General features: G+C 40.8%; 1 protein-coding gene across 11 annotated transcripts in view, besides 1 other annotated feature; it reads left to right on the top strand.

The window, feature by feature from the left end:
• TTC28 (tetratricopeptide repeat domain 28) overlaps nt 1-27,207 on the top strand; it is a 701,827-nt gene that overhangs the window by 537,936 nt on the left and 136,684 nt on the right. The gene's annotated exons all lie outside the window — the stretch shown is intronic.
• Nucleotides 4,231-4,986: an enhancer, noted in NCBI's record as "OCT4-NANOG-H3K4me1 hESC enhancer chr22:28532907-28533662 (GRCh37/hg19 assembly coordinates)". NCBI's record gives its function as "activates a minimal SCP1, AML or CMV promoter by ChIP-STARR-seq in naive H9 embryonic stem cells {active_cell/tissue: H9 hESC(naive)}" and the evidence as "EXISTENCE:reporter gene assay evidence [ECO:0000049][PMID:30033119]".

Genomic DNA, 27,207 nt, shown 5'->3' with positions numbered 1-27,207 from the left:
TGTAATAAATGAATCCCTTGTGCCTGTGTTGATGTGGCTTTTCTTGGTGAGTCAGAAGAGGTTTCGTGGTTGTGGAATTAACTGTTTGATGTGGGAGGTTTGTTTTGGTATTAAATGGTCCTTTATATGGCAAAAATAATCTAACCAAATTCTTGGACTTGTCGTGAAAAGAGTCCTGTGTATTCTTATGTCAGAGTTGATAGGAAGGAGAGATTGTGAGTGTGAAAAAGAGCACACTGCTACAGTTGTAAAGGGTTCCTTCAGTTTCTAGGAGACAGCTACTCTTTTCCCTTAGTAGAAATATTAATGAGTGATCTCCACAATCAATTTGAACCTTTATTCTATAATCATACCACCCAGATCATGAAAGAATTATGACATAATGCAGTGTATATATGTATCCGCTTTCTTACTGTTCCCTTTCAGTGAGACGTAATGAAAAATGCATGCATTTTAGGGTCTTTTATTCGTTTGTTCATTTAGTACCAATTATGTCTCAGACACTATTCTAGGCATTAGAGATAAAGCAGTGAATAATTTAAAATCCCTGCTTAACTTGCATTCTATCAAACAGGAGACATGTTTTTAAACAAACATACAGCTAAGTACTATGAAGGAAACTAAAGCCAGGTAAGGGGACTGAAAAAGACAGCAAGTTGATGGCAGGGAAGGAGGGAGCCAGGCTGACAGCTGGGACATTTTCAATCGTGTGGTCAAGGAAGGCCTCTGTAAGGAGGTAATGTTTGAGCAGAGACCTGAATGAAGCAGAGATTGAGCGCCTCTGAGTGAGCCAAATTTGGGTTCTAATTCTGGCATTGTAATTTACTTGCTGTTGGGTCTCTCTGAATGTGTTTCATCATCTGTTAAAAGTACAGTTAATAAAACCTGCTTGTATTAATGTATTTGATATTAATTATCACTCTTCCTCCTCCTCTTCCTTTTCTTCCTCCTCCTCCTCCTCCTCCTCCTCTTCCTTTGCATTTAAAGGTTACTACAGCTTTATATTCTCTGAACATGCTGGTTAACCAGAGTTTATAGTATTTACAGTAACTATATTTTCCAAGTAAAAAAATCAAGTCTCAAGAAGATCAGTCTGAGGAAAAAAAACGTCATTTCTGATTTATGGGTTTATTTAAATAAATATGTAAGAGAGTTATAAAAATTAATTATATTTAGTTACACATTTAATTAATCTTTGCCTTTATGGATAAGAAGATTACATGAAGTTGACCATTTCTGGAAAGGCCAGGCCCGTGGATAGCCTAACTATGTGAAATGCCCACAGTCCCATGAAACTCTTTTTTGGAAATCTAGAAGTCCATTTTAACAGGTACAGATCTTAACTTCTTAGAACTCGACATGGGACAGTGGGTGGCATGAATGTTGACATAGGTGGAACGTGACAGAAAAGTTCTGCAGAGTTTCTAAGGTCATGTCTTCCAGAGGCTGGGGTCTGAGTGGGATTGATGTGGACAGCGTTGCTGTCAGTTCCTGGTAACATTAAAAGCTTCTTTAAAGAAAAAGTCCACTGGGACCTTATTAGTTCTAGAGCCGTTAGCTGCTCTGAGGGGAGATTCAGAGGCACATCAGCCTTGAGGCTGAGTTTGTTTTACATCAGGTTTCCTCTCAGGGAGCAATACAGCACATACCTCTGTCCTAGCAAGACTTCCAGCTGAAGGATTTCCTGAATCCAGAGTGTTCAGTCATCACTGTGATACTCTGAATTTGTACAGTGCTTTATGAATCACTTCGGTTTGTCCTCACAACAACCCTGCAGAGAGTCAGAGCAGACCCTCTCAACCTTATGGGGGAGGAACTCACACATCCAAGATCACCCAGGCAGCCAGGACTACACCCAGACCTGAGCCCATAAGCAAGTGTTTTACCTTGGCCACCTTGCTGGGAAAGACAACCCTCCTCATCATGGGAGCTGCTGACACATGGCAGATCTTTCTACAGAAATTATGTGGGTGACTATAGTTGGTGTTGTGAACCCAGTCATGTGTATGAATTTAGCCTATAGAGAGGAGATTTGACTCAGGCCCTGAAGCTAAAGGGAGCTGTGCAGAGAGAGATGGCACTTCAGAGGGGAAAGAGATTTTCCTTGGAACATCATTAGGATTACAAATTTTGGAGCTGGAGAGGCGCTGTGGGGATTGTATACTCCAGTCCCCTTAATGTTTAGGAAAAAAAAAAAAAAGGAACTTCAGCTCAGAGAAGCTAAGGGATTTAAATCACAGCTGGTTTGTGACCAAGTACTGTAGAAACCTGATGTTTCTAATGCTGGGGCAAAAGCATTTCCTTCCTTGCAGTATTTTCCTTCCTGGTATCAAGTTTACTCTCCTTATTTTCCCTGCTGCAATGGAAAGCCCTTTACATTTTGACAGTTTGATATTTTTAAATTGTTCATCCTAGTGCTCATGGTTCCTAAAAGCAGTCTTGATTAAAATGCCCTTAATCAAAATAATAAGAACAATGATTAAGGCCATCCTATCCTTGTTACTGTGGATTTATCCTCCTTACCAATGTCATTTTAATTCATGAATGTACCACAGAAATGGAGCTCACCAGGTCTTGGAAGCAGTTGCTACTTTCTTACAAACTGTGTTTTGTTTTCTGTTGTTTCATGTATTATAATGCATTATTCTTATTTCCCTACATGCCTCTCCTCACATCCAGGCTGTGAATTTCTTCTGAAGGCCTGGTACTAGGCCTTTCGAGACTCAGGATTGTGTCCTCCAGCACAATGCATGATCCACAGAAGGCATCATTAAATGTGTTTGTTTTGGTAGCATGTTTATACTCCATCTCCTTCAATCGCTTCAACTCCACCCCATCTCTCCCCAACCCCCAAAATCAGGATAAAAATCCCCCCACCTCAGAAATCAAGATACAATCCTAATAGTTAACAGACAGGAAAATTTGGAGCCTTGTGATTCATGCTTATATTTGTCTTTTTAAGTATCTGTATTTTGAGAACTAGTGGTCATTGTTATTCTCTATTCACTTGAACTGTCCTCGATTCTTTGTTCGTATCTGAGTTCAGTTCAACAATATTGATTTCCTTTTAATGGAATAGAAGCCACCTCAGATCTTTCCTACACATTGAGTTAATGTTTGGTGTTTTGGAGAGGAAACGCTGCCTAGGGATAAAGGACTCTGGCTGTGGAGTCAGAGGGGCACAGGGTCTCTCACGTACTGCCTGTGGGGTTTTCTATGGACAAGTTGTTTGGCCTTGATAAGCCTCAGGATTTTTCCAAACTATTAAAGCCAGGGCTGTACTGACCAAATCAGTATACTTACAATTCTAAACAGCAACATATTCCCGGATTGTTTTCTGTTCTGATCATCCATGCAGATGGAGGAATGGGCTTCTGCCAGAATAGGCATCTTGATGGTGATACTGGGTAGAAGAAAAGATAAGGAATATTACACTTTTAACTCTTATTTTATTAGTCATTAAAGCTTCCCTTGTGCAAATACTTGTAAACATTTGCTTAGTGTTTTTTAAAATATGTGACAGAAAGAGATTTATTGGAGCATTTGAAAATTTTTGGATCTCATTTCCCAAGAGTCTAGCAGTGCATCCCTTTACCCATTATTAAGCATTCATAAAAATAAAGAGTTCTAACAGCTTTCGACAGTATCTCAAAATTATAATGATTTCTGTGTCAGATATTTGTTTGCTTCAGACTCTGGCTGATTGATACTGTAGTTCATTCCACAGAATGAATTAAACTTGTTAGAAAGTGTTTAAGGAGCATGATGGTTTTAAAATACGTCCACAAATTCCTTGACACATCTCCCTTCAAAAAGTAGAGCCTAATTCTCCTTCCCTTGAATGTGGGCCAGACATAGTGGCTATATTCCTTTTTTTTAAAAAAAAACAACAACGGAGTTTCGCTCTTGTCACCCAGGCTGGAGTGCAGTGGCGCGATCTCGGCTCACTGCAACCTCTGCCTCCCGGGCTCAAGTGCCTCTCCTGCCTCAGCCTGCCGGGTAGCTGGGATTACAGGTGCCCACCACTATGCTCTGCTGATTTTTGTATTTTTAGTAGAGACAGGGTTTCCCCATTTTGGCTAGGCTGGTCTTGAACTCCTGAGCTCAGGTGATCCACCTGCCTTGGCCTCCCAAAGTGCTGGGATTACAGGTGTGAGCCACCGTGCCTGGCCCATAGTGACTATTTTCTAACCAGTAGAATGCGGCAGAAGTCATATTATATGACTTCTGAGGCAAGGTCATAACAAGGACACAGCTTCTGCTTGGCACTTTTCCTGTTGGATTATTCATGCAGGCAGAATTCATCCACCATGTTGTAAGGATGCTCAAGCTCCTGTGGAGAACAGAATGGGATATTCTCCCTCCAAACCAAGAGGGCCCTCCAAGAGAACTACTCACAGTGTTTGTTTAAGGTTCTTGCAGGAATGGTAGTCACGTTCTACTGAGAGATGTGATTATGTAGTTAACTTGCTGGTCTGCTACCTGTACGCTTCTGAGAAGCGAGAGAGGAAAGGCAGAGAGAGAGAGGTCAGTAAAGAGAACTGGCACTCTTTGGACAGTTGTGGATGCATGAATTTCCTGTGAATCAGTATAGAAGTTAGCTTGAGACAACTCCCTAGAACATTTCTCAAGAGCGCTGCCTCAGGATGAGGAAGCCTCAGCAGCATGAGACTGTGGAATGTAACTCTGCAGGTGGGATCTGAGAGTTCTCACATCAGGGAATTGTGCCATGGATAGGTCTCTCCATAGGGGCTCCAAAGAACTTATACAAGACTCCAGCAAATGCAGCTAGCATTTAGATGCTAGTGGCCAGTCAGTTTGAGGCTAACAGCCAGCAACAGCCATGAGAATACTGGTTAAGAGTCACATGTGTCTTTCCATGCCCCTTAATTCAGCGCCCTGGAGGAGTGAGGAGAAAAGTAGTTTTATACTTGTTTTCCAGTGGAACCTCAGCAGTCCATCCTCTGTGTTGCTTATGATTTAAGCGGTACTCCCAAGTTTTCCAGCTTCCTCGGCAAAGACATATTACTACTTCTGGCTGATAAAATGTGAGGCCATGGAAAGCATGTGTGCAGTTCTCCAGTCTCTGTGTACCTGCCATGGCCACTAAAGTAGTGGGTATACAGAACAGAGCCTTGTATTGAATCACCTTGGGCATGCAAAGTGAACAAGAATTAAACATGTAAACCTTTGAGACTGGAGCACTCTTTGTGACACCATAACCTCTCCTTCCCTGACTAATTCAAGCAGGGACACAGAAGTGGAATGCTCTCATGTTAGACATTTCCCTGGACATCTAGAGCTTATTTGAGAAGTTAGATTTTGAATTTAAGGTCTGGACAACTTGAGTTCAGCTTTAGAGAAGAGGACTGCTCCAAGTGTAGGCCAGTGCCAATTCATGAACTATATATTACCTGTCCATGAGGAGAGAAGTGCAGAATCAAAAATAAGCATTTTGGGCTGGGTGCTATGGCTTACATCTATAATCCCAGCACCTTGGGAGGCTGAGGCAGGAGGATCGCTTGAGGCCAGGAGTTTGAGACCAGCCTAGGCAACATAATGAGACCTCATCTCTACAGAAAAATTTTAAAAATTAGCTGGGTGTGGTGGTGCATGCCTGTATTTTCAACTACTTGAGAGGCTGAGGTGGGAGGATTGCTTCAGTCTGGGAGTTCCAGGCTAGAATGAGCTATGATCACACCACTGAACTCTAGCCTGAGCAACAGAGGGAGACCCCATACCAAAAAACAAAACGTAAGCATTTTGAAACTTTAATAGCAACTAGTCATTGCTTAGAAATTTTATTTTATCAAAAAATAGTAAGCATTTTGAAACTTTTATAGCAACTGGTCATTGCTGTGATATTTTATTGTGTTTTACAATAGTATTATTCTGCAATTGATTGTGAAAAACAAAAAACCCCAGAACTGACCCTTCATCAGTGTAGTTTGAGGAGCACTGCTTTATAATATGTACATTCAAATCAGTCTTAGGAAGATATAGTTATAAGGGTAATTAATTTTGGATATTTTTGTATTAATTTCATATATCTACTGTGTTTCTAAGATTTCTTGATCTTTCCTTTGAAATGACCCTAATATAATAAACAATTACAGTGGTAAGAGAAAACATCAGATGTGAATTCCCTGTGTTTTCTCCCCTTCACTTTCCAACTTGGCTTCACATGTTCTTCCTGCTTCTCTTAGGTACTCTTTTACAAAGTTCTACTTCCTCAACTTCTATTTACTTCTCCACTGTCTGAAATCTGACTTTCCCCCCACCACTATTCTTTTAAATTTATTTTTGCTAAAGTCATCAGTGATTTTCTAAATGTCAAGTCAGTTGACCTGTCCTCTTACTTGACTTATTTGAACTCCTTCTCCTGTCTGCCACACAGCCTTCCTGGGATTTCTCCTTTACTTGCCTTCTAAAACTCCTCCTAGCTCTGGCGTTTTACTCCTCAACAACTCTGCCTATTCAAAGCTATGTGTAAGTCATTTAGAGGGTAAAATTTTTGAAATTTAATTCATTAATGGATTTAATAAGTTATTGTGCATATTTTGTAAATAATCCTATTATAATATAAATAAGCATTTTCTTACCCATAAAAGAGAACCCAAAGAATGACGTAGTGGTGAGCTCACTGGTGTTGAGTTCCCTCAACAGAGGCCAAGTAGAGAACCTGACTTCCACCCCAAGGTAGTAACAGGATGGCAGTCCCCCACCCCTACCTCACTTCACTCAACAGAGTGGTGTCAGAGGAGACCTGATAAAACACAACATTCAAGTAAGATCCAAAATCTCATAGCATAATATCAAAAATACCTAGGTTTCAATAGAAAATCACTCATCATACCAAGAACTAGGAAGATCTTAGATTTAATGAGAAAAGACAGCCAATGGATACTGACACTGAGATGATACCGATGCTCAAAAGATCTGACAAAGATTTTAAAGTAAACATTATAAGAATGCATGAGTGAGCAATTATGAATAAGCTTGAAACAAATGGAAAAAATGGACAACTTCCACACAGAAATATAGTCTCAGCAAAGATGTAGAAGATATAAAGAAAAACCAGATGGAAAGTTTAGAACTAAAATTATCCAGTTCTCCTGGATAATATCCTGCAGAGTGTTTTCCAACTTGGTTCCATTCTCCTCGTCACTTTCAGGTACACCAGTCAGACGTAGATTTGGTCTTTTCACGTAGTCCTATATTTCTTAGAGGCTTCGTTCATTTCTTTTTACTCTTTTTTCTCTAAACTTCTCTTCTCGCTTCATTTCATTCATTTGATCTTCAATCACTGATACCCTTTCTTCCACTTGATCGAATCGGCTACTGAAGCTTGTGCATTCATCATGTAGTTCTCATGCCATGGTTTTCAGCTCCATCAGGACTTCTCTACACTGGTTATTCTAGTTAGCCATTCGTCTAATCTTTTTTCAACTTTTTAGCTTCTTTGTGATGGGTTCGAACTTCCTCCTTTAGTTCGGAGAAGTTTGATTGTCTGACGCCTTCTTCTCTCAACTCATCAAAGTCATTCTCCGTCCAGCTGTGTTCCATTGCTGGCGAGGAGCTGCATTCCTTTGGAGGGGGAGTGGCGCTCTGATTTTTAGAACTTTCAGCTTTTCTGCTCTGTTTTTTCCCCATCTTTGTGGTTTTATCTACCTTTGCTCTTTGATGATGGTGACGTACAGATGGGATTTTGGTGTGGATGTCCTTTCTGTTTGTTAGTTTTCCTTGTAACACTCAGGACCCTTAGCTGCAGGTCTGTTGGAGTTTGCTGGAGTCCACTCCAGACCCTGTTTGCCTGGATATCAGCAGCGGAGGCTGCAGAGCAGTGAATATTGCTGAACAGCAAATGTTGCTGCCTGATCGTTCCTCTGGAAGCTTCGTCTCAGAGGGGTACCTGGCCGCGTGAGGTGTTAGTCTGCGCCTACTAGGGGGTGCCTCCCAGTTAGGCTATTCAGGGGTCAGGGACCCACTTCAGGAGGCAGTCTGTCCGCTCTCAGATCTCAAGCTGCGTGCTGGGAGAACCACTACTCTCTTCAAAGCTGTCAGACAGGGACATTTAAGTCTGCAGAGGTTTCTGCTGCCTTTTGTTTGGCTATGCCCTGCCCCCAGAGGTGGAGTCTACAGAGGCAGGCAGGCCTCCTTGAGCTATGGTGGGCTCCACCCAGTTCAAGCTTCCCAGCCACTTTGTTTACCTACTCAAGCCTCAGCATTGGTGGGCGCCCCTCCCCTAGCCATGCTGCTGCCTTGCAGTTTGATCTCAGACTGCTGTGCTAGCAATGAGGGAGGCTCTGTGGGCTTGGGACCCTCTGAGCCATGCGCGGGTTATAATCTCCTGGTGTGCCGTTTGCTAAGACAGTTGGAAAAGTTCAGTATTAGGGTGGGAGTGGCCCGATTTTCCAGGTGCCGTCTGTCTCAGCTTCCCTTGGCTAGGAAAGGGAATTCCCTGACCCCTTGCACTTCCTGAGTGAGGTGATGCCTCACCCTTCTTCAGCTCACGCCCGGTGGGCTGCACCCACTGTCCAACAAGCCCCAGTGAGATGAACCTGGTACCTCAGTTGGAAATGCAGAAATCACCCATCTTCTGTGTTGCTCACGCTGGGAGGTGTAGACCTGAGCTGATCCTATTTGGCCATCTTGGAACTCCCTATTTATTTATTTTTGAGACAGAGTCACATTCACTCTGTCACCCAGGCTGGAGTGCAATGGCACGATCTCACCTCACGGCAACCTCCAACTTCTGGTTTCAAGCGATTCTCCTGCCTCAGCCTCCTGAGTAGCTGGAATTACAGGCATGCGCCATCACACCTGGCTAATTTTGGTATTTTTTGTAGAGACGGGGTTTCACCATGTTGGCCAGGTGGTCTCAAACTCCTGACCTCAAATGATCTGCCCACCTCCGCCTCCCAAAGTGGTGGGATTACAGGTGTGAGCCACCATGCCCGGCCATTACAAATGTCTCATATATTTATATTATCTCATATATAGTAAGTCCTTATTTAACATTGTCTATAGGGTTCTTGGAAACTGTGACTTTTAGAGAAACAATGTTTGAAGCAGCCAATTATTTTTACTCATTAACAAAATGGCATTGAAGGAAATAATGTTATTGTAGCACCTGCTGTGTAAGTGGTTTCACTACACTACTTGGTACAGTCGTATTTGCTGAAGGATTTGAGGTAGCCTCTGCCCTTTAGTACAGTTAGCCAATGATCTGAATAAAGCTCTCAGTGGGGTACTTCCTGATATTGTCAGAGTCGTGTTAGAAAATCAGAACATTGGTATAAGCTAGAGTTAAAGGAATCTTAGAACCATGGAATGTTGGAACTGGAAAGGGTTTTTTGAAAAATATTCAGTCTAACTCTTACTTTACTGATGAAAAAAGTAATGTTTTGGGAGGCTTTTTGACTAACATGAGATCACACAACAGATTTATACTGAGCCAAGAAGAGAACGCATTTCTCCTGGCTTAGTATATTGCTGTACCATAATCAGCGTCCTGTTGAAGTCACCAGGCTGAGAATTGTGCTAATTGAAGTATATTCAGACTGCTGGATGACTGGTGATAAATGTGTCTCTCCATTCAGTCTTTCCATATCAAAAGATTTGTCTTATTAAAATGTGTAACTTTATGAAGCTACAAATCTGATAATGCATAATGGCCTCCAACAGGACACCTTCAAGTATATGTATCTATAGCAATTCACGTATTAGACTCCAAGATCTCAACTTTTGTAGTTCATTGTCTTGTATCTTCTCATTCCTTCCTTGTCTCTCTTTTTATTGCAGATAGCTGAGCATTTTTCTTTTTTCTTAGAGTATAACTGTTGGGAATTGTGGTCAACAAGGTATCACAACACCAATGGTTTGCCTGTGGCTTACTTGGCATAATGGCCTTAAATTTCTGAAATTGAATTTTTTGAATCTTTTGAATAATGAGTGGTGTCCTCTCCAGTGCTGTTTTAGGGATTAGTTCAAGGGCAGAAGAAAATAATCATTAAAACAATTGAATATTCAGGCTATATATTAATAATAAAAATTATAATAGTAGCCATTTGTTGAGCCTGATTCCATTCCAGGAGCTGTGCTAAACCCTGAATCTGGATCTCACTTAATCCATAAAACAACCCTTTCTAATACGTATTACCACCATTTTACAGATGAAGAAACTGACACTTTGACAGGGCAAATAATATACCCAAGGTCACAGAGTTAGTACATATACAGACAGTCCCTGACTTAGGATGACTTGACTTAGATTTTTCGACTTTACAGTGGTTCAAAAGTGATACATTCAGTAAAAACCATTGTTCAAATTTTGATTTTTTTCCGAGGCTAGTGATAAGTGGTATGATATGCTCTTGAGATGCTGGGCAGCAACAGTGAGCCACAGCCCCCAGTCAGCTGTGAGATCATGATGGTAAACAACCAGCATGCTACGGTGTACAGAAGTGTGTTGCCAGTGATTTCTGGATATTGTATTTTGTTTTTCATAGCCCATCATTGTCTACAAAATGACCATTTTGATTTAAAATATTTTCAATTTATGATGGATTCATTGGGACATCCCATCTCAAGTCAAGCAACATCTCTGTATCTCACAAAATTAAATAGGGGACTGATCTTCAGCCAACAGCATGTACCTTAGAGAAAAAAAAATGTGTTTTTAATTTAGAAACAGAACCAAGCCTTTCAACATAATACTAAATTAATAGATAAACCTTTCAAATAAAAAAGGCCTTATTGGATTTCTAAATTCACCGTCCTTGCCTGAACATCTCCACCACCTAGCACTGAGATACATGCTTCCATAGTAGGCATCACCAGTATTTGCTGGCTACCCTGGCTATTGCCATTGTTAGTCAGAATCACCTCATGACAGAAGGGCTTGATAAAAGGGATAATTGAGTATATTCTGAGTAATTGACAGAAATGACGTTTGGCTCCTCAGGCAGAAGCTATATATGTTTTAGAATTATATATTGTAGTTTGGGAAAAAAGTATCTAAACTAATTTTTATCCTGTCTGCTCTTCTCTGGTGACAGATAAAGTTGTCACCAGAGTAAAAAGTAAAAAACAAAAACAAACAAAAAACCCAGAAAACAGAACCCACAGGACTGAAAGGAACCTTATAGAAGTGATCAACAATTGAGGTGATCCAGTCCACTCATGCAGCAAAAGGAATCTCCAGATTTTCCAAAAGACTTTCAAGGCTGGTTTTCAAAATTATCTTTCATAGAAAACCTTAAATAGCCAGCTATCTTTCTGCATCTGCATTCTTTCTGCATCTGCATTCACCCAGAAGTGTTTCATGCCCAATTTCTTGAAGACATATTTATATGTAAAGCTAGATACATATGTATAAAACAAAATGTCACTATCATTCTGATAGGGTACTCACAGGATTATGCTAATAATTTTATGCTAAAACAAAATTATTGACATTATTGAGAAACACCATATCATTATGAAGATACAACTAGGAAGTTTCTGAAGCATCAAAGTGGCAGTTTATTGTTATAAAGTGGTGGAAGAAGCCTCAAGCTCCCGAGAGACTGTAATGAATCTTCTGCTTTTCCTTGGGAGCAAAGGGAGCAATATCTTTAATTTGGGGAGTGGGGGAAGACAAGTGTGTTTTCCACACTTGTGATTTAGGTATGTGTTCATTAAATTGAGTCAAATGTTGACTAATGGCAAAAAAAAGAGAAAGGAAAGACTATAATGTAAAAGGAATCTGCTTAAACTTTGAATTTTCCATATAGGATATCTGATTTAGGTGGTTCTTTTGTAGGTTTTAAGCTTGCTATAAAGTCTCATAAACAGAAGATTAAACAAAATAGGTAATATGGTGGTATTTCCCAAAACCATGTTAAGGAAATAATAGTAGTGCTTTACTTCTGTAAAGAGCTTTACCACCTACAGTCTTGGTACTCAAAGTGTGGCCCATGGATCAACAGCATCTCATCTCCTGGGAGTTTGTTAGAAATTCAGACTCTCCCTTGGCCTCACCTTAGACCTAGGAAATCAGCCACTGTATGTTAACAAGGTCCCCTGTGATTCTTACTCACATTAAGTTCAGAGGAGCCTCTGTCTACAAAATACTTTTACGTGCATCATCTCCCCCGCCAATGTAGTGCAAACATAGGAAAAAGTGACATCAACCTTACCACATGCAGGAATCATTTCCCCTGAGGTGAAGAGAATAATGATAATGGTAGCAACTACTGCTCTTTAAGTCTACACTGTGCGCCAGGCACTCTACCTAAGTATTCACCTCATCCTTACCACACCTCGTGAGGGAGGTAATACTAGCTCCACTTTACAGTTGAGGAGAATGAAGTTCAAGAGGGTAAGTAACTTGCTTAAGATCACACAGCCAGGAAATGCCAGAGCCAGATTAAATCCTTGACCGCCAAGCTCCTGCTCTTTGCAAGTGTTTGAGAACATCTTGGAATGAGAAAGGGATTACAAAGGTGGATTTCAGCTGTGGCTGCATTTTGGCGTTACCTGGGGAGCATTACAAAACACTGATGCCCACTCTCAGAGATTCGGATTTAATTGGTCTGGGATCTAGATCTGACATTGGGATTTTAAAAATCTTTCTCAGCAATCCCAGTGTCTACCCCAAGGTTGAGAATTTCTGGTTTATGGACTGGCTAACCTTTAGTTTGCCCCTGTTAATGGGATTTCCATCGGGAACAGTTCATCTGCCTCCCTTCACTTATTATATGGGTAAACTTTGAGATTGCTGTCATTGGGAGTAGTGGCGTAAGTACCTAAAGCATTTGGGTACTTGTTACATGGAACAATCACATCATGTTCAGGGAGAGAGAGATTGAATATGGCTGTCTAGATCTGGCTAAATGTCCAAGGCAGTTAGGCATCTTTTGCAATCTTTATGAGCACAGTTCTCTGAACATGATGATTTCCTCAGTTGTCTTACTTCTTACACAATCTAGCTCTCATTGTCAGGTACGACTTACTTAAAATCTCGTGTTTAGGTCTGCAAGTGAGTCTCAGTGTTAGATAAATTGTGTAAAATAAATTCCAGGGCAGGTGTAGTGGCTCACACCTGTAATCTCAGTACTTTGGGAGGCTGAGATGGGCAGATTGCTTGAGCCCAGTAGTTTGAGACAAGCCTGGGCAACATGGTGAAACCCCATATTTACCAAAAAATATAAAAATTAGCCGGGCATGGTGGTATGTGCTTGTGGTCCCAGCCACTGGGGAGACTGAGGTTAGGAGGATCACTTGAGCCTGGGAGGCAGTGGTTGCATTGAACCGAGATTGAGCCACTGTACTCCAGCCTGGGTGACAGAACAAAACCCTGTCTCAAAAACAAAAATAAAAAAATAAGGAGATACCAAAGTTCTATCCTGCTCCATAATTTGCTGACAGGAATTGGCTGTGTGCTTTACTTATTCATTTAATCCTTACCTTACCGTGTTTCTTAGGTGAGCAAACTGAGGTTCACAGAAATTAAGCAGTTTGCTAGAACTGTGATTCAACTCAAAATAATTCAAAATAGCCCATGTTCTTTTCTCTTTACTGTACTTTTTTTTTTGTTTTTTTGAGACGGAGTCTTGCTCTGTTGCCCAGGCTGGAGTGTAATGGCGCAATCTCGGCTCACTGCAACTTCTGCCTCCTGGGTTCAAGCAATTTTCCTGCCTCAGCTTCCCAAAGTGCTGGGATTATAGGCGTGAGCCACTGTGCCCAGCCTACTGTACTTTCTAACAGGAAAGAGGGTCTAGCCCTGAACAGCCAACGCTTGAAATTTAAGTTAGTTCAACACAGACTTACAGAGGCTTTGATGTGAGCCAGACTCTGAGCTAAGTTACAGGTATCTAGAAATGAAGAAGGTGTCTAGGTACAGTGGTTCATACCTGTAGTTCCAATACTTTGGAAGCCTGAGGCAGGAGGATCACTTAAGCCCATGAGTTTGAGACCAGTCTGGGCAATATAATGAAATCCCACCCCCAAAAAAAAAAAAAAAAATTAGCCAGGCATGGTGATTTGAACCTGTAGTCCCAGCTACTTGGAGAGGGGCTGAGGCAGGAGGATCACTTGAGTCTTGGAGATTGAGGCTTCAGTGGGCCATAATCACATCACTGCACTCCAGCCTAGGTGACAGCCTATGGAAAGAAAATGTGAGGCACATACGTAATTTAAATTTTTCTAGTGGCTGCATTTTAAAAGTTAAAAAAGGATGAAATAATTTTAATAATATATTTTATTAACCCAGTATATAAAAATATTATTTCACCATGTAATCAATATGAAAATTAATGACATTTTACATTCCTTTTCTCATACGAAGTCTTGGAAATCCTGTGTCTGTTTTACATTACTGCATATCTCAGTTTGGACTAGCCACATTTCAAGTGCTCAGCTATGTTATTGGACAGTATTATCTAGAGAAGCACTGAGGAAAGCACAACTTCCTTATTGTTGAGGGGAGCAAGGATTAGGGGAGGTTGGTTGGTTGTTGCTACCATTACACTGGAGTAAGTGTAATGCTGTGTTCCCCAGGCTTTATCCCTGCACCCAGTGAAATCATGCCTTACACTTCTTAGTGACCCTTAGTTATAAATGTTCTCATATATCAAAGTTTTAGCAAAATGACTTAAGATTCCAGTTCATGACAGCCTTTTTCTAGCCTAGTGTACAGAAAAGCTACTTGTATCTCCAAGGCCCAGTCTTGTCTGTACTAGATATTTTTAGTAGGGCCTGATTCTTTCTGTCTGTACCAAATATTTTTAACAGGGCCTGACTTTGCAATGGTTATAGTTATGTCAAACCTTTTAAGAATCAATCTAAACAATAAGTGTTTTGCTTTAATTTATTAAGATATTTTTAAAATTTGGAGCCTAGCACAGTGGCCTGGAGTCCCAGCTACTCAGGAGGCTGAGGCAGGAGGATTGCTTGACCCCAGGAGTTCGAGGCCAGCATGAGCAAGCTAAATCACAAATTGTGTTCTATAGAACTCTTCTTCCAGGACATGTGGATAAGGCTGTCATATCCCTGCAATCAAATAATTTGGAATTCTAGATTCCTCTCCAGGAAATTCATTCTGCATATTAGTATATGAAGGGCTCTGAGAAGTCGTGTATTAACTTTGTTTAATCCAGTGTTTCATACTCACTTGACCATGGAAGACACATACTTCTCAGGACATCTGCAGTATTAACATCTTATGAGACACAGCTGCTCTGTGGAGAAAGTTTCAGAAAACACAGAACTAGGAGATCACTTCAGTTACTTTGCTGACCCTATATTTGTATAATGACTGCCTTTCCCACTAGAAGAATAAGGCACAGAACTCCTTTTTCCATCTAAATCAACATAGTGGGGATTAGAGAGTGGGTATTCAGTCCAGCAGACCTTGAGAACTGACATTTCTGTGGAAGTACAGTCTTTACAACTACTTAGACTAGAGTCACTCTGTATTTAAGTGAACCATTGTAGAGAGCAGGATTGGAAGAATGAAGAGTGTGGATTAACCTCAAATACCGTGAGATTGTGAAATTGCCACTCAACACTGGATTATAAAACACTGGAAACTCGTAGTTCTCCGTGGCCAACCCCAGCCATAGTTACGTTTGTGATGATTTTGATCAATCTGAATGACATATCCAGGGTCCAGCCCAGTAATTAAACAATTCTGTGGTTCGATTATTTTATTATATTAAGGAGAGGGACTCTTGTCAATGGAGAAACCATGTAATGCTGCAGTAAATTATTTCATATCTATTTGGAGCACAGAGCCAAATTCATTCTCTTTTAGTCCTCTCCAATCCTCTCTAGGACCAAAACATCCTCTCGTTTCATATGTTGTTTTTTGCCTCAGGGGTACAGTGTCTTTCAGTAATAGAGAATACAGTGACTTTGCCGCTTTCTAATTTCCATTTTTTCCAGATCCTCTAAGGATTGTAGATGGGTATGTGCAGTTTCTAAGCCCCCAGAGTAGTATTTTTTTCACCTACTTTATGCAGATGCCTCATAAGAGAAAACTCATTCTTTTGTCTCTTACCCAGTTTTTTGTAATGAGCTATGCAACATTTTTTTTATTTAACAGATGAAGCTTTACTGAATTACTTATGAACATATTTCTATGCTGAATAAATTTTATTAATGATTTTAAAAAATCACTGTTCAGCCAGTTGGCTTGTCTTATTAATGATTGGTGATAATTCTTTTTCAAGCAGATCTTTATGAACTACTGCCTATAAGAAGCACATCATAAAGGAAATATGAATCCTTTTGTTGTTAGCCTACACAGTATTGATCTGTACTGTTTTGTGTTTCCAAAGTTCAAGATGTAAAACCATTCTTTGTTCTTTTGCCTTTGGCAGCATTGGTGGTAATTACAGTGAGCTGATGGCTGGGGGTGTTGCATATTGTGTTTGGGCCTCCATTTCTACAGTTACTACCCTGAGTTGTGATTGGGTCTGCCTTGAGGTTGTGAGCAGGAAGCCGTGTTCATCATCTTTTATCCCTGATGCCGCCTGTAGTACTACAGTAAATGTTTGTTGAAAGAATGATAAAGGCATTTTTAGAAAATTAAGTCCAAGCCAACAGAGATTAATAAATCGAGGTATTTTTCACTCTGGAGGGCTCAGAGAACCTGATCCTAAGGAGCTAAGCTAAGAAACAGGTTCATACCAACAGTAGCCAGCTCTCTAATGTTGGGTAGGTTGTGACCCTTCTTTGTACTTCAATTCTCCATCTGGAAAACAAATGATTAGTAACTTTGCATCCCTCCAAGTAATACGGTAATGATAAAGGGGAGGCATGAGAGCATGGTGAGCTCTTTGGAGGAAAGGTATATGTAACACTCAGTCATCATTATCGCCACTATTATTTTTCTAGGGTATGCAATGTATTCAGTTTATTCCTCGAAGAACACAGAAGAAAGCTAGCTGGAATAGAGAGTTCATGTTGGTGAGACATGGAAAATGAGACTGGTTAGGCACAGTGAGCCCAGTTTAGAATACATCTTTTCTGAATTGGGGAACCTATAGGACTTTGTCCTAAAAAATTACCTCTACCTTCTACCTCAACTCCAAGTTCTAGGAGCATGAAGTGACAGCCTGAGACAACTGGAGACCCATGACTAGGTCTCAGGTGAGCTATCTAGAGATGATTTGTAAATCACTGGACATAGATAGTGTCTCCCTAAATCCTACCTTCTCTCCTGTATCTTGCTTACAGAAGCCTTGGTTTATTGCCCAGATGTCATTTAATGCTATTTGAGTGTACTGGTTAAGAGCTTGAACTATAGAATCAGACTTCCTGGGCTTGCCCTTTCTAGATGTGTGACCTACGGCAAGTTCTGTAGCATCTCTGACTCATCTGAAATAATAGGATAATTACAGCATTTAACAACCCACTTGTGAGATTAAATTAACAAATGTAAAATGCCTAGAATAGTGCCTGGCACATAGGTTTCAATAATTTTAGCTATTAGAATGGATATTATTATATACTGGGAATTGAGCTGAGCACTATATATATTATCATTCTATCATCTAGCTATAGATCTGAGACAGGGATTTGGCTAGCACCCAACCACTTGGAGAATGGGGCCAAACTCCATTGGAGCACAAGCCACATACTTTGTTTTGGGTAAATATTGGGCCTAGATACAGCTTGCTTTCTTTGAGGTCAAACAGGAAAAAAACAAAAAACAAACAACAACAACAACAACAACAACAACAACAAAGAGAGATAAGTGAAAAATTGCTACAGAATAAGGGAGAGGCAACAGTGATTCTCAGAAGACAAGCAGACCTTTAAAAGTTGCTTACTGTAAGAATGAAGGGAAAAATGTATAAAAGTTTGGCATCCTTAGTAGGATACAAAAAGACATGAAGTAGAAGTAAAAAATATATATTTTTTCTTTTTTTGGAGATGGAGTCTCGCTCTGTCACCCAGGTTGGAGTGCAGTGGTGTGATCTCAGCTCACTGAAACCTCTGCCTCCCGGGTTCAAGCAATTCTCCTGCCTCAGCCTCCCGAGTAGCTGGGACTACAGGCACATGCCGCCACACCTGGCTAATTTTTTGTATTTTAGTAGAGACGGGATTTCACCATGTTGCCCAGGCTGGTCTCAAACTCCTGAGCTCAAGCAATCCACCCGCCTCGGCCTCCCAAAATGCTAGGATTACAGGCATAAGCCACCGCCCCCAGTCAGAAGTAAAAATATTGAGAAGGCAGGTTGATACGGGAGAAAGGGGTTGAATAAAAAAAGATGGATGATAGAAGGAAGATCGTAAGGACCCTAAAATGTAAAGTGTGCAATAAAGGTAGAATTGAGAAGAACTGATACAGCGGGAGGCTGGGTGTGGTGGCTTACGCCTATAATCCCAACATGTTGGGAGGCTGAGGCGGGCAGATCACCTGAGGTCAGGGATTTGAGACCAGCCTGGCCAACATGGTGAAACCCCATTTCTACTAAAAAATACAAAAATTAGCTGGGTGTGGTGGCATGCGCTTGTAGTCCCAGCTACTTGGGAGGCTGAGGCAGGAGAATCACTTGAACCCGGGAGGCGGAGGTTGCAGTGAGCCACGATCGTGCCATTGCACTCCAGCCTGGGCACGAGAGTGAGACTCCATCTCAAAAACAAACAAACAAACAAACAAAAAAAAAAACCTGAAACAGTGGGAAACTGAATCAGTAGAATACAGAAGGAAAGAACAAAGAGAAGGAAAGGATGGGAAGCATTGATACTGGGCTTGAAGTTCTTCCGTTTCTCATCTTGCTCCCATATTTCAGTGAGCTGATGTGTTGTAAGATGGCTTTTGCTGCCAAGAGAAGTTTGGGCCTGCTCTTCCCGTTGGCTGCCCTTCTTTGGCTCCTTTGTTAGTACCAGAAGATGTGTTTCTTTGTCTACATCCTTCATACCCCATTTCAATAAAATCGCTTGTCCAGTGTAATACAACCAAAAGCCATAACTGGTGTGGTTCTGTCCCAGGACTTCCTAAGAACGGCTTAGGTATTTTTACATGGTGAGAATATTATTAGAAGAGTTACTAAACTAAAACAATTTTTATTCTACAAAAGAGAGCTGTAGACAACAATATAGTGATCATTTTTATTACCTAGAAACTTTGAGAAAATGATTGTATACATCCCTTAAATCTATAACGAATGATCTAAATCTAAGCAAAGACCTAGTGGCAAATAGTTGTCATCAAAGTCTTTTTTATTATTATCTGCCTTTAAGAACCTGGTCTTATTATATTTATGTTTTGAAATCAGTGCATATAATATGATTTCAGTAATGTAAACAAAACAACCCATATCAAAACAAAATGAAACCACTAACAACAGCAAAACCCATAAAGATTATCAGAACTACTCTAAAATGTTAACAATGATTATCTTCAGTCATCAGGTAAGATAGATACATAGGGATTTTTTCTGTATTTTTAAATATTTTCTACATTGAATCTTTTGACTATAAGAAACAGAAAATCTGGCTTACAATGGTTTAAATAAATAAGGGCTTATTTTTCTCACAAAACAATAATTGTGAGGCACCTGACATTGGTTCAGAGGTTTAAGGATAATAAAACCAATTTCTCTGCAGTCCTCTTGGCCTTTCTTATATTCTCGCCTCTTAAGCCTCATGGTCACAACATTGCTGCTGAAGCTTCAAACCTCATGACTCATTCGAATAAGTAAAAGGGAGCTGCTTCTGTATCCCTTTATCAAAAAAGCAGGCTGAGCGCGGTGGTTCACACCTGCAATCCTATCACTTTGGGAGGTCAAGGATGGCGGATCACTTGAGGTCAGGAGTTCGAGAACAGCCTGGCCAACAGGGTAAAACCCTGTCTCTACTAAAAATACAAAAATTAGCTGGGCGTGGTGGCGTGCTCCTGTAATCCCAGCTACTCAGGAGGCTGAGGCAGGAGAATCGCTTGAACCTGGGAGGCGGAGTTTGCAGTGAGCCAAGATCGTGCCACTGTATTCCAGCCTGGATAATAGAGCAAGACTCTGTCTCAAACAAAATAAACAAAACAAAACAAAAACAAACGCTTACCCTAAAATCCCAAAAAAGTTCTGCTTTTGTCTAATTGATCACAGTAGTGTCACTTGACTAACCCTAGCTGTAAGAAAGGCTGGGAAGGTAAATACTTGGCTTTCTAGCCCCATAGGCAGAGGCAGGCAGGAGAGGAGGAGGAAGCTGAAAATGAATATTGGGTGCACCAGCCTTTGCTGTCTGCCACAAGCATTTTTTAATTTAGTATTTTCATAACAGAAATTTTTTAAATTTCAATTTTAGTTCAATTTTGAATTTGCTATACAATCTCAATAATTCAAAAGCATGCACAACAACAACAAAAACTAAAAGAAAGCCACAGAAGCAGTAAAGTTGTCTGCTCTAGGTCTTGAGACTAGTGATATTCTGCCTTAGTGTCCTCACTCGTTGCTGTAAGTGATCAGAGGGAGAAAAACTGGGTGGTTTCTTTATTTACATATGCATGGAAGAAGTGGTTGGCTGGAGATAAGCATGTAGACAAGAAGGTCTGGCAGAATAGTTAGGCAAAGGAACCCACCCTTCCTGATGTATGTAGTAGGGTTGAGGTTCACTGTGAACCAACAAATGTCTTGGGAAGCCCAAGTTCAAGTGATTTTCACAGGTTTCTGTAATCCTGTGAGTCTACAGCTCAAATAAAGAGGTAAATGGGGTTTCAGATTTAAAGTGGATTACAAGAGCTTTCTAGGAAAACATGTTTAAATAGCATCTCTGTGATGTGCATAAGTGAGCCAGCCTCAGGAGCCTCCAATTTCCTATGTAAGTTCCTCTCAATTAAACAGAAACGGAAGAAAAACTGAAAGCAGTAAATGGATTCACAATTTTAATCCCATTTTGCTCCTTTCAGTGTTTTTGAAATTGCCCTAACCAAAAGCCCATATACTAACAGAAAAATGAGCAGAATATGTGAATCACTTGTTTTGATAGCATTATGCTTAATCTAGCTAGAACACTTCACACAATCATAGAGTTTGAATTTCCATCCAGTGTGAATTTTTAAAAGGAAGCTTTTCAGACCCGATTGCCTTGGGAACACAGATTTCATAATTTGCTCTCCAGCCTTGCTAAAACATCCATCTGTCTTTGCAATTGAATTTGCAAGGTAAAATCATTTTAAAGGGCTGCTCTATTGACCAGCTCTTCTGCTGTTTCTCCCTTTTCCTGTTCATTTTCAGGGCTTTCTATTTGTCTGGGCAGACCATGCTGTCCACTTATCCTCCCTGGGCTGAAGGCATGATGCTGCTCTGGAGGATGGGCTTTGTCTTCACCCTGGGTTGCACAGTTGAATTCTGTAGCAGTTACTGTCTCAGACTCTCAGAGAGGCAAAGTAACCCAGGGAAAAAAATGTGCTGGGCTGGGAGGTGGTGGGTGTGAGTTCAGGTCCTAGCTCTGAATCTTAGTGACCACATGGCCTCTGTGAGTGTCTTCAAAAGCAGACCCAGCCACCCTGCCTTTGTCCCTAGACTCAAATAAGATAATGAAGGTCCCAGGGCGTTGAAAGCAGATGAGAGCCCTAAAATGTTAAATTTAATTAAGCTCAACAATATAGCAAACATTTTTGAATTTTAGGGTATCTGAGGTATATCCAGGTAGACATATTCAGAAAGCAGTTAGATTTATGAGACTACGGCTTAGGAGAGAACTCAGAGCTAGAATTGCCTATTTTAGGAGTCACATACTTGGTATTTTGTGCCGTGTCATGAGATCACCAAAAGAGAATTTTGTATATTATCATTATCATTATTATTATTATTGCTACTACTGTTTTTTATTATTAGGAAGGGTTCCCCTCTCCCTTATTAATAATCATTGTGAAATTAGGAGGAAGCCCATACTTGGGTGTTTTTTAATCTGTCTTCTTAATGCATTACATTTTACAGATAAATTGGTGAGGAGGATCAGTCAGTAAACGAGATTTTTAAAGTAAGGTTTTCAGTTTCTCAGTCTTTTGCTTAAATTATTGGATACCAGCCAAAAGACTTCCCAATTAATTAGCTTTGATGATTTATTTTAACAACTTCAGCTGGATGACAGTACAAAAATGAAGTTGTTTCTTCAGATTATTAATTAGTAGTGCCAGAGTGTAAAATTACCTCAGAGCATCCAGTGTTACTCAATGTGGTGCTATTGTCGTTTTGGGTGTGATGTCTTTTCATTGTGTAGGATTTTCCCACATGGTGAAGGTTGTTTAGTATCCCTGGCCCCACCCACACTTGCCAGTGTGGTCTCCCAGATATTTTGACAACCAAAAATGCCCCCACCACATTTGCAAAGGCCCTGTAAGGGCACTTCCTCCCCTACCTACACACTCTGGTACTTAAGGAAATGGGTTCCATCCCCACGTAAGCAGAGCTTTGATATAGTATTCTCAGAGCCCACAGTTTTGCACTGTCCTTAGGTGAGATGATCTGGTGTCAAGTTCCCTTTGATACTTACTTAGGAAATATGATGGCATCTAAGACAGTGAGTTGTACTCTAGCTAAATAATGCTAGAGGGAGTGGCAGTTTTTTATTTTGTTATTTGTAATATTGAGGACTATGGTAATTGAAGCTGTTTGGAATAATACCAATACCCTAGAAACTGTTTCATTTGATCTTCATAATAGCCTTCTGAGATAGATGAAAACCTGAGGCCAGAAGAAGTATTAATAGTAACTTTCTTAAGAGCACATGACATGAAGTAGTAGAGCCGGGAATAGGGATCTTCTGATTCTGCTCACAGTGCCTTTCAACCATAAAGCACTGTGCCACATAACTGGCAATTCTGGATTATTAAATCTTGTAGAATAAGACCCATGAAACAAATTGCAGAGCTTAGGCAGCAAAGTTGAGAAATGGCAGGCTCAGGGGACACACCAATTACCAAGGCAAAGTCAGCTGAGCATGCAACAGATATAAAATTTTTTGATTGCTTGATTGTTTATAACTTGTTTCATTCCATAAAGGATTTATTTAACTTCTAATATCAAATGATGATATAATAGAAATAGAAAATCAAGATCAAAGAGCCCAAACATGCAGCATATAAGGGCTAATATAGTTGTTATAGTAGAGTTTCATATTTAAGCCAGAGCTTCTTGGTGGCTGAAGCAAAGAAAGAAATATAGTCATGTGTCGTTTAACAATAGGGATACATTCTGAGATGCATCATTCGGCAATTTCTTCATTGCGTGAACATCAGAGTGCACTTACACAAACCTGGATAGGATAGCCTACTACACACTTAGGCTACGTGGTATATAGCTGACTGCTCCTAGGCTACAAAGTTGTATAGGAGGGTACTGTACTGAAATGTTTAACACAATGATAAATATTTGTGTATCTAAACATAGAGAAGGTATGCTAAAAATATGGTATTATAATCTTATGGGACCACTGTTGTATCTACAGTCTGTCATTGACTGAGTGTCTGTCCTTGACTATATACATAATTCTTTTTTTTTTTTCTTTTGAGATGCAGTCTTGCTCTGTCACCCAGGCTGGAGTGCAGTGGCGTGATCTCGGCTTGCTGCAACCTCCGCCTCCTGGGTTCAAGTGATTCTCCCACCTCAGCCTCCTGAGTAGCTGGGATTACAGGTGCATGCCACCATGCCCAGCTGATTTTTGTATTTTTAGTAGAGACGGGGTTTCACCATGTTGGCCAGGTTGGTCTCGAACTCCTGACTTCAGGTGATCCACCCGCCTTGGCCTCCCAAAGTGTTGGGATTACAGGTGTGAGCCACCGCTCCTGGCCCATAATTCTTTTTTTAATTTAATTTTGTATTTTTATGGATACATAGTAGTTGTATATAATTATAGATTATATGAGATATTTTGATACAAGCATATAATGCGTAATAATCACCATCGGGGTAAATGGGGTACTTGTCCCCTCAAGTATTTATCCTTTGTGTGACAAATAATCCAATTATACTCTTTTTAGTTATTTTTAAATGTACAATTAAATTATTATTGGCTACAGTCACCCTGTTGTGCTATCAACTACTATACTGATTTTATTCATTCTTTCTAACTATTTTTTTCACAATTGTTATTATCCAAAAGATGGGAGCCTAGCATTCCTCAGGGAAAGGGTAGCTGAATTCTAAAAGAAATTTCTCAAGAGAGAATTTAAATAGGGGGGTTCTGGTGACAAAATGTATGGTATCAATACAATTGTACAGCAAAGATTGTAGTAGACTTCAGTGTGCTTTTGCTAACAGCAATCTTTAATCAAGAGCAAATTAACTAACTCGAGGGCACCATGATAACCCACAATTCTGTGTAGGTCCAAGGTAATTTGGTTCAAGTTTACAGGTTTTTGTGGTCTCCCTAGATCCAGGGCTAGAATTTAGAGCATCCAGAGGCATGGATGGCTCAAAAGCTCCTTGGGAAACTTCTGTTAATAGACGTCTGTCTCACACAGACTTTGTTAGAATATGATTTGTAATTGTAGGCTGTGACAAGGGCTGGGAGGGTTTATATTGGAGGGCACATCTATCAGGATGTGCTAGGTGCTAATAGAGTAACAGCCCATAAATCTTAGTGGCTTAATACAACAAAGTATTATATTCATACAAAGCCTACCACAGGTCCATGCAATCCTTAGGGGCAACACACTAATCTAAGCCTGCCTTAGCTCCGTCTTCCTATAGCTGTACCATCTGGAATACAATACATAGCTTCTGCAAGTTGATGAGACAGAGGAAGAGAGAACATGGAATACTGCACTTCAGCTCTTCAACGCTTCTGTCTGGAAGTAACACAATCATTTCTCATTACTTTTCACTGGATAAAGCAAGTCACTTGCCATGCCTAACTTCTCACGAGTGGGAAATACATACCTGAACGTGGAAGAGATCCAGATAGCAGGGAGCATTGGTAAAGTCTACTGCAGATGAGCAAGAAAGGTAATCCAAGCCAAGTGAATAGGATACTCACAGGCAGAAGAGGCAGGGTAGGATTGAGCAGAAGGGAGTATGGGACTGCTCTGTGGCTGGCATAGGAAGACTGGATTGGGCCTGAATCAGGAAAGCGCACAAATTCCACTTGACTACACTTTGTAGGCTAGAGGGACCCTCAGAAGGTGCTCCAAGGAGATGGTACTGGTTCAGCTTTCAGGGTCTTAGCTCAAGGGAGGAGAAGGAACAGTTGTCTCAGCATTTCAGTGATTCTATCCCATGCCTCTAAACAAATGTTTTTTTCATACTGAAGCTAACTCCTTGTAACATTCCCTGCATTGCTAACTTGTGAGGCTGCCTCCCACCTCTTATTGTGATCCAGAATGAAAACCAGGCACACTCTGACTTTTCCAAACAGTGACTAATGGCGGGGCTTGGCCAGGCAGGCCCAGCATATTTTTCACTCTGCTCTGGGCTTCCCACCAAGTCTCTCCCAGTGGCCCGGCCATAGCCTTTAGAGATGACTGTGCCTAGCACTTCCTACCTCATCATCTATCACCAGCACCCCTCTCCAGCCACCTCTTTTTAAATAGGTTTAATTATTACTTCCCTTACTTCATGGCACAATTAATCTTCCCCACTGCCTCAGGATTTACAGTGGCACAGGCCCAGGGAATTTCTGAGCTATTCACCTGCAGTCTTAGTCTTTAAGTATCCAAGGGAAGTGGGAAGGATGGCTATGCATGAAGGCAGTGAATATTTGTGGGTTCCAGTGGGCTCGTCACTGCTCATTCAGCCCAAGCCTTTGGGATGGTGGTGGGAGGGGACTGAAGAGGAACTGACCCTGCTCCCAGTTAGCATCAGGGGGAGTCTTGAGGGGTGGGGGTGAGCAATAGAACCTATTTCTCTGCATTTGGAGAAATAAATGTATAGCAAATAAATAATACATTTAGACTCTAAAATGTAGTCTCTACAAAAATACTACATTTTATTTCCTCCAAAGTTGGTTTAAAAGGTAGATAGCGTCCAATGGAGTGTAGCTTATAGGAGGGAGAGGTGGTACAGAGATTTCCCAACCTTATTATAGCAGGCTCCTCAGAGTTGAAACAGAAGGGAAGGGCAATTGGGATCTGGAACAGAAGTGGCCACCAAACTCTCAATGTCACTGAAGACATCCTAAACTGCTGTTGAAGCAAAAGAAGATAACAGGCTCGTAACTTCACTTATCCTTCAAGGAACAGGCTGAGCCTGGTGGGTTTAGTAGAAAAAGGAGACAGATGTAATTAAGTTAAAGGATGGCAGAACAGACGTGCGATGGCGCAAGAGTTCTCCAGAGGTGATGCCCACACAGATTACATCTGCATCCTCCTACTACATTTCTTAATCTTTTAGGATTTTCTTGTATCTAATGTGTACTTCTCTGTTCTCTAGATACAGATTTAGCCAGGCCATCAATCTGTTCATATGCAGCTGCTAAGAGCTTGGTTTGCCACAGCAGTATACTAATGTTAATAAAGAAGAAATTGGCACATGATGCAAATATTTGTGTGTATGGTGAGGGAAAAGAAATGGGCACAGAATCATGCCTGTCTTTTACTGGACGACATTTCCAGATGAAGGGAGAAGGTAAAAGAGTGTGGACTAAGCTGGGTATGGTGGTGTGTGCCTGTAGTCCCAGCTACTTGGGAGGCTGAGGTGGGAGGATCACTTGAGCCCGGGAGGTCATGGCTGTAATGAGCTGTGATTGTGCCACTGGACTTCAGCCCGGGTCACAGGCTGGAGTGTAAGACTCTGTCTCTTAAAAAATAAAAAAAGCATGGAGCATGGACTTCTGAGTCAGAAAAATCTGGGTTTTAGTAACAATCCTGCCACTTAGAGCCGTGTGGGCCTGAGTAAGCTCTTGAACCTTTTGGGGCTCTGAGACCACAGTATCAACCTTGTTTTGGGGCATGAATGAGATCATGGAGCAGCGAGCCAGGCACAGAGAGGTTCTCAAGAAAAGCTTACCTATCAGGAAGTTGCTTTTAGCTGAAGTCAAATGATACATATTTTTGGAATTACCTGCATTTAAAAATATCTGTATTGGCCTGACATGTTGGCTTACCCCTGCAATCCCAGTGCTTTAGGAGGCCAAGGCAGGAAGATAACTTGAGCCCAAGAGTTTGAGACTAGCCTGGGCAACATAGTGAGATCCCATGTCTACAAAAATTAATTAATTAAACATTAGCTGGACACAGTGGTGCACAGCTATAGTCCCAGCTACATGGGATGC

This window comes from Homo sapiens, chromosome 22, assembly GCF_000001405.40.
Source record: "Homo sapiens chromosome 22, GRCh38.p14 Primary Assembly".
Classification (NCBI taxonomy): Eukaryota; Metazoa; Chordata; class Mammalia; order Primates; family Hominidae; genus Homo; species Homo sapiens.
Note: the sequence above shows the minus strand (reverse complement) of the source record. Positions and strands in the feature narration are given on the sequence as shown.